General features: G+C 40.0%; 1 pseudogene; it reads right to left on the bottom strand.

Annotated features, from left to right (window-relative positions):
- On the bottom strand, positions 7,377-7,955 carry CYB5AP4 (cytochrome b5 type A pseudogene 4; annotated as a pseudogene).

Below are 8,529 nucleotides of genomic sequence, written 5' to 3' on the forward strand. Positions count from 1 at the left end.
CTCCACCCTTTTCGCTGGGCAGCCTCCATCCCATCCTTTTTCCAGATGAAAGTTCCTAACACAAAAGACACACAAATTTCCATCGGCTGCCTATTAAGCAGGGGATGTCAATAAGATTATCCTCCCTTCTCAAAACTTAACAATTAGCTTTCACCAATACTTTCATATAATATTTCAAGGGGAATGCATAAAAGAAGTAATAATCGGCATAAATCACAGCTGCTCTAGTAACCCCTTTTGTAGCTGGGCATGAGGCCAGGGTTGGTGGCAAAGGAAGCTGTGTTCAGATGCCCCTAGCTGCAAGACAAGTCTGCCTACAAGAAGGAAGACTTCGATATGTAGATTTGGAGTGTGGTTTCCTTCACCCATATTAGGAGTGTGCACGTGGAAGATGCAGTTATTAGGAATACAGGATCAGAAGGCCCAAGGTAAAACACTTGCCCTTCCCCAAGGAATGACTGCTTCATCCAAATACTAAAAAGTCTCATGAAACAAAATCATCTCCAAAGGGAGCCTGGAATGAAGCTACTGGGCATTGGCCAACTTGCTAGGACTGCTGGAAGAATGGTGCATGGGGACAGAGGTGGACATTTCACTCAGGTAGGGGGAGCTATCACCTGTGGTCAGAACCCAGAGACAAGGGGCAATTTCATCAAGACCAAATTAAAACATTGAGTTATGTTTGGTTTGCAGCTGGATGGAATTTTATATGAAGTAACCCAGTCCATTGACCCTAAAATCAGACCTGGGAATGAAAAGTAGAGGGACTGGAATGTTATGTTCAAAAGTCCCCCTTCCTTCATCCCTCATTATCCCCATTCTCTAATACACTCCTTTGACAAGTAATGGCTTTGCTCCAGGAGGGAGGGAGCCTGATCCTAACTGATCCATCACATTCAGAAGAGGAGTCCTACCCAGAGTTAGGCCTCTTTCCAATTAGCCTGGAGACTGGACCTCATCACTAGAATGTGTCACTGGGATAGGACAATGGCAAACACACGTCTTGAGAACAGAACTCGTATAGTTAGGATTAAAACTGAGGGTGGTGGAATATCTGATCAGTCCACAGACTTGGGTATCAGTGTCCTTCAAAAATCATTTGGGGGCAATTAGGACATCCTTTTCTCTTGTGATTACCAGATACATGTGACTACCAGAAGGCTGGAGAATACACGTTTAGCTGATGTAGACATACTAAAGCCTGAGGACTTTTGCAGAGAAAGCCCTGTCCAGATGATGATCTGATTCAGAAAATGCATACCCACTCCACTTAGACTGAGTAAAATATAGAGCTAGTTCAAGTCTAAAACTCTGTCCTTCACCTAAGGAGATAAAATCTGACCGGGTTCTGTCCATCTTCTATTTTTAAACTGGCCAAAGAGGTAGGGACAGAAAGTAACCAAGTATCCACAGAAAGAGTTAGGAAGAGCTAATCTTAGACAGAGACAGGCTGGTGACACTAGCCACATCTGAGTAGCTAGCACCAGTGTGGAGATAGCAGGTCAGATGGGAGCTGCAATGGAAGCGTCCAGCTTCAGGTAGCAGTGCAGGAGAACTCCTTCCCAAGCCTGTATTCATTGTCTAAAGCTGCTATAACCAGTTACCACAAATTCATGGCTTAAAACAACACAAATTACATTTTATCATTCATAAATTCAAAATGGGTCTTGCTGAGCTAAAATCAAGATATTGGCAGAAGTGCATTTCTTTCTCGAGACTCCCAGGGAGAATCCTTCTCATTAGTATTTCCAGTCTCACAAGGCCATCCTCTTTCTTGGCTGGTGACCCTTTTTCTTTATCTTCAAAGCCAGCGACAATAGGTTGTGTTCTTACATTGTATCACTCCACCTTTTATCCTCTTCCTTCTCTTCCACATTTTAAAACCTTGTGATTACACTGGGCTGTCCTGGCTTATGCAGGATGATCTCCATATTTCAAGGTTGGTTGTTTTGCAAGCTGATTTTGTTTCCTTAGTTTTTCTTGCCATGCCAAATAACACACTACAGGTTCTAGGGACTGTGCTGTGGACATCTTGGGGCTGGATAGAAACCACTATTCTACCTACCACAAATTCCCTTAAGAAGCAACAGTTGAACAAACAGGGCCCTGGTAACCTCAACACAGGGATCCACCTGGATCTAGTATCATGAAGAAGAAAAGGCTATCTCACTCAAAGAAAGTGGGAAAGTGGTAGGAGAGCTGAGTTTTCCCTGAGCCCTACCACGATAGGGTCACACCAAGCCAACCAGCACTTTATTTTTCCCAGAACATCAAGTAGGTCCTCAAGTGAAGTGCCTACAAAAATATAAGAGGTTGGAACTAAAAGTACTAAATAGTGGGTCACAAGTGACAGGTGTGTTCTTGACAATAAATGACAGAGAGCTGAGCCACTACCTGAGGTAGAGGCAGGACAGCCTGGGCCAATTTGGCTTAAGGAGCAAAACCCACCCAACCATGCCTGTGTGGTCATCTGTAAGGGAGGATGCAGAAATGATAAGAAGGAAGATAGCATGTATGGTAAGCACCGAAGCAGGAGCTGGGGAATGTCAGGGCTGATGGAGACAACTTCCATTCCTCAATTTTTGTCCTAGGTTGGTTCCCCCATAAGCCAATTGTGAAGCAAAGATTTGAGAATAAGCTTTCATGGGAGGTGATACCAACAAATACTGCTATGGGAGGGGGAGTATGACATGAAAGGGAAGCCAGCCAATGTAGTGTGCTTTTGTGAGCAGGTCATTCATGGGGAACTGGAACTATATCCATGAAGACCTCTAGGAGCATTTTCCCATCGGAGGGTGAGAGAAGCTGGGGCATTTATCTATCAACTTTCACTTATCGTTGAAGTCTTCTCCCAAGGCATTAACCTCCCATCACTTTTGGCCTGCCCTGCATGTGGGCCTAGCATGTCTCCCCAGCCAGTGGAAGCCTAGAGCAGGGAGCAAAATGCATGAATGATAATGAAGGATCTGAGCACAGCATCAGTAGCATCTGCTCCAAGGATGGAGGAAGGCAGGATGGGAACTTCCCAGGCTAGGAAGGGTTATAAACAAGAAGACTCAGAGGTTCCCGATGGAAGGCTCAGGATTGTCCCAAGGGTTCTTTTCAGAGTTCTAGCCCAGTATGTCAAGCAGCATGCAGAAACGAATACCTAACTACTCTTTATATTTGCCTCCCATGTGCAGACACTTCAGAAAGGTGAAGGCTGAACAAAGGCACACAGTAATTGTGCACAGTAATTGATCTTTCGGGGTGGTATGTATAAAGCCCTCCCCACCAAATGGAGTCAGAGAGTTTTTATTTTGATAGCTCCTCAGTAATGGACAGTGGAAGGAAAAGGATACATGGAAAAGAATACTTCAGGGATGGGATTTAATTTGTTTTCAGACTGTGAGTAATACAGGACAGAAGAGAATAACATTTTTTCCAGAGAAATCTAAGCCGTGTTCATTGTCTAATATCGAAGACTTGCAAAAACACATTGAACAGAGGTTAATTAAGAGTATAATATCTGAATCCTACAGCACTATAAATCCTCCATTGTCATGGTCAAGAAGGAATATAGCCAGCACAAAGCCCATAAAAATGCTAAAGAAGATTAGCACATTTCTGCTTGAATTGAGGACACCTTGGACTGCTTGCTAAGGAACAGTAGCTTTAAGTAAAGGACTCGAAGAGTGTCCTTAGCTGGTTAGAATAAAGACACAATTTGCCTTCATTTCCCTGTTGGCTTTTACCAATTTACAAAGAGGCCTTGAGGTAAAGGAAAAGATTAATGAGGATGTGAAATATATAACAGCATTTGTTTATTTAGATGAGATAATTATTTTCACCAGCACCAGAAGAATAGAAGCAAGGTCCTTTGGATATCTGGTCCCCTCAGGAAAATAGTTTAATATTGTCCTCAGACATGGGTCAAATTGCCTGCACCTTTGTTAGTGGACACAGAGGTCCCAGTCTGGAGACAGCATTGTCCTTGAAACTCTATCCATAATCAACAATTGCCATGAACCAATTGTAGCAAACTCAGAAAGAAAGAAAAATTGCTTCAGAGGTTTATAGAGGTTTTTAGAGTATTCCTAAATTACAGACCTCACAATATCTTAAAGCAGGGTTGAATTTGGAAGGCTGAGCCCTTCCAAAAAGAAAGGAAAAGATCATAGGATAAATAATACTCATTATCATCAACCCGCCTCAATCCATTAATTATAAAGAATTTTAAACTATCTTAGGGAGTTTTATCCAAGATTTGCCGAGGAATAACTCCAGGTTGGTAAGGCACCCAGCTATTTAAAGCAGATTTTTTAAATGATTAATTCTTTTTCAAATAATTTTATTAAGTTCAGCGGTATATGTGCGGTTTGTTACATACGTAAATGTGTGTTGTGGAAGTTTTTTGTACAGGTTATTTCATCATCCAGGTATTAAGCCTAGTAGCAGCAGTTATTTTCTCCACCCTCTGACAGTGTGTGTTGTTCTCCTCTATGTGTCCATGTGTTCTCATCATTTAGCTTCACTTAGAACATGCAGTGACTGATTTTCTGTTCCAACCCTAGTTTGCTAAGGATGATGGCCTCCAGCTTCATCCATGTCCCTGCAAGTGACATAACACTCTTTCTCCCTTCTTTTCTTTCTTTCTTTTCTTTTCTTTTCTTCCTTCCTTCCTTCCTTCTCTCTCTCTCTCTTTCTTTCTTTTTTTTTTTCTAATGGAGTCTCACTCTGTTGTCCAGGCTGGAGTGCAGTGATGCCATCTCAGTTCACTTCAACCTTTGCCTCCTGGGTTCAAGTGATTCTCCTGCCTCAGCCTCCCAAGTAGCTGGGCTCACAGGCACCCACCACCACACCCAGCTAATTTTTATATTTTTAGTAGAGACAGGGTTTCACCATGTTAGCCAGACTGGTCTCCAACTCCTGACCTCAGGCGATCCACCTGCCTCGGACTCCCAAAGTGCTGTGATTACAGGCGTGAGCCACCGCACCAGGCAAATATTGTTCCTTTTTATGGCTGCATAATATATCATGGTGTATATGTACCACATTTTCTTCATCCAGTCTATCACTTATGGGCATTTAGGTTGATTCTATGTCATTGCTATTGTGAACAGTGCTGCAATAAACATATGCATGCATGCGTCTTTATAATAGAATGACTTATATTTCTTTGGGTATATACCTAGTAATGAGATTGCTGGGTCTAATGGTATTTCTGTCTTTAGGTCTCTGAGGAATTGCTGCACAATAGTTGAACTAATTTACACTCCCACCAACTGTGTAAAAACATTCCTTTTTCTCTGCAACCTTGCCAGCATCTGTTGTTTTTTTTGACTTTTTAATAGTAGCCATTCTGACTGGAGTCAGATGGTATCTCATTGTGGTTTTGATTTGCATTTCTGTAATGATTAGTGATGTTGAGCTTTTTTTTTTTTCATATGATTGTTGGCTACATGTATGTCTTCTTTTGAAAAGTGTCTGTTCATGTCCTTTGCCCACTTTTTAATAAGGTTGTTTTTCTCTTGCAAATTAGTTTAATTCTTATAGATGCTGGATATTAGACCTTTGTTAGATGGATAACTTGTAAAAATTTTCTGCCATTCTGTAGGTTGTCTGTTTACCCTGTTGATAGTTTCCTTTGCTGTGCAGAAGCTCTTTAGCTTAGTTAGGTCCCATTTATCAAGTTTTGCTTTTATTGCAATTGCTTTTGGCTTCTTCATCATAAAACCTTTACTCATATCTATGTCCTGAACAGTATTGCCTAGGCTGTCTTCCAGGGTTTTTATAGTTTTGGGTTTTATATTTAAGTCTTTAATCCATCTTGAGTTAATTTTTGTATATGGCATAAGAAAGGGTTCCAATTCCAATCTTCTGCATATGGCTAGACAGTTATCCCAGCACCATTTGTCGAATAGGGAATTCTGTCCCCATTGCTTGTTTTTGTCAGGTTTGTTGAAGATCAGATAGTTGTAGGCATGCAGTCTTATTTCTGGGTTATGTATTCTGTTCTGTTAATCTATGTGTCTGTTCTTGTACCAGTACTATGCTGTTGGTTACTGTAGCCCTGTGGTATAGTTTGAAGTTGGGTAGCATGATGCCTCCAGTTTCATTCTTTTTGCTTAGGATTGCCTTAGCTATTTGGACTCATTTTTTGTTCCATATGAATTTCAAATTAGTTTTTTCTAGTTCTGTGAAGAATGTCAATGGCAGTGTAATAGGAATAGCATTGAATCTATAAATTGCTTTGGGCAGTTATGGCCATTTAAACAATATTGTTTCTTCCTATCCATGAACATAGAATATTTTGTTTGTGTCATCTATTCGTTTTTTTTTTTTTTTTTTGGTTTTTTTTTGGAACAGTGGTTTGTAGTTCTCCTTGTTCTCTCTCTTTCATCCCCCTGGTTAGCTGTTTTCTCAGGTATTTTATTCTTTTCATTGCCATTGTGAATGGAATGATATTCTCAATTTGGCTCTCAACTTAACTATTGTTGGTGTATAGGAATGCTAGCAATTTTTGCACATTGACTTTGTATCCTGAGACTTTGTAGAAGTTGCTTATAAGACTAAGAAGCTTTTGGGCTGAGACAATGGGGTTTTCTATATATAGAATCATATAGATATAGAATCATGCCTCTGCAGTTTGACTTCCTTTCTTCCTATTTGGATGCCCTTTATTTCTTTCTCTTGCCTGACTGCCCTGGCCAGAACTTCCAATACTATGTTGAATAGGAGTGGTGAGAGAGGGCATTTATGTCTTATGCCAGTTTTCAAGGGGAACGCTTCCAGCTTTTGCCCACTCAGTATGATGCTGGCTGTGGATTTCTCATATACAGGTCTTATTATTTTGAGGTATATTCCTTCAGTACTTAGTTTATTGAGAGTTTTTAACGTGAAGCGATGTTGAATATTGTTGAAGGCCTTTTCTGCATCTTTTGAGAATACCATGTGGATTCTGTCTTTAGTTCTGTTTTTTGTGATACATCACATTTATTGATTTGTGTTTGTTGAACCAACCTTGCATCCTGGGGATGAAGCCTACTTGATCACAGTGGATAAGGTTTTTGATGTGTTGCTAGATCTGGTTTGCCAGTATTTTGTTGAGGATTTTTGCATCAATGTTCATCAGGGTTATTGGCCTGAAGTTTTCTTTTTTTGTTGTGTCTCTGCCAGGCTTTGGTATCAGGATGATGCTGGCTTTATAGAATGAGTTAAGGAGGAGTCCCTCTTTTTCAATTTTTTTGGAATAGTTTCAGTAGAAATAGTACCAGCTTTTCTTTATACATCTGGTAGAATTCAGCTGTGAAACCATCTGGTCCTGGCCTTTTTTTTTTTTTTTTTTTTTTGGTTGGTAGGCTATTTATCATTTCAGAACTTGTTATTTTTTTTTTTACTCTAAAAGTCAGATATATTTTTAAAAGATCATGCTTATAATAAGCAAATTACATAGTAAGGAAACATCAAAATAAAGTAGATGAATAAAAAGGCATACTTGAAAAATTCAACAGCAGAAAGGACAGTTATTTTTGTTTTGTTTCTAATGCCTGAAGAAAGAGAAAGAGACATGAAAACTATTTTTTCAAGTGAAGGTTTCTGTCTGTTGAAGTAGTTAGCATTGGCTTCTTTTCTCCTGTGTCCAAAGCAGGCTTTTCCTGCACTGGCTTCTGAGGAGTTGTTTAGTCTTCTGCCATGTACAGGCAATACATCAAGGCAACGGCCACTGTTGAGATGGCAGGGATCACCCAGTTGGTCCACCAGCTGGAACTAGAAACAACAGTAGCGATAAAAGTTTCTGAAAGCTTGCTTAACTTAAGTTTATCATCTGGATGGAACTCCTCAATGATATATGTTTTGGACAATTCCCTAGCATCTGTAGAGTGCCCAACATCCTCAAAGTTTGCAGTAGCGTCACCTCCAGCTTCTTCCTTTAAGACTTCTTCTGTTAAGACTTCTTTCCCACCAGGATGCTCAGGTGTTCAATTTCTTCCTGGTTCAGTCTTGAGAGGGTGTATGTGTCAAGGAATTTATCCATTTCTTGTAGGTTTTCTAGTTTATGTACAGAGAGGTGTTTATAATATTTTCTGATGATTGTTCATATTTCTCTGGAGTCAGTGGTAATAATCCCCCCATGTATCTGTGTTTATTTCAATCTTCTATCTTTTCTTCCTTATTAGTCTAGCTGGTGGTCAATCTATTTTATTATTTTATCCAAAACGCCAGCTCTTGGATTCATTCATATTTTGAATGTTGTTTTGTTGTTGTTGTTGTTGTTGTTGTTGTTGTTGTTTCTATTTTCTTCAGTTCTTCTCTGAGCTTGGTTATTTCTTGTCTTCTGCTAGCTCTGAGGTTTGTTTGCTCTTGGTTCTCTAGTTCTTTTAGTTCTGATGTTAGGGTGTTGATTTGAGAACTCCCTAGCTTTTTGATGTGGGCATTTAGTACTATAAATTTCCCTCTTAACACTGCCTTAGTTGCATCCCAGAGATTCTGGTGTTGTATCATTATTCTCATTCATCTCAAAGAACTTCTTGATGTCTCCCTTAATTT

This window comes from Homo sapiens, chromosome 20, assembly GCF_000001405.40.
Source record: "Homo sapiens chromosome 20, GRCh38.p14 Primary Assembly".
Lineage (NCBI taxonomy): Eukaryota > Metazoa > Chordata > Mammalia > Primates > Hominidae > Homo > Homo sapiens.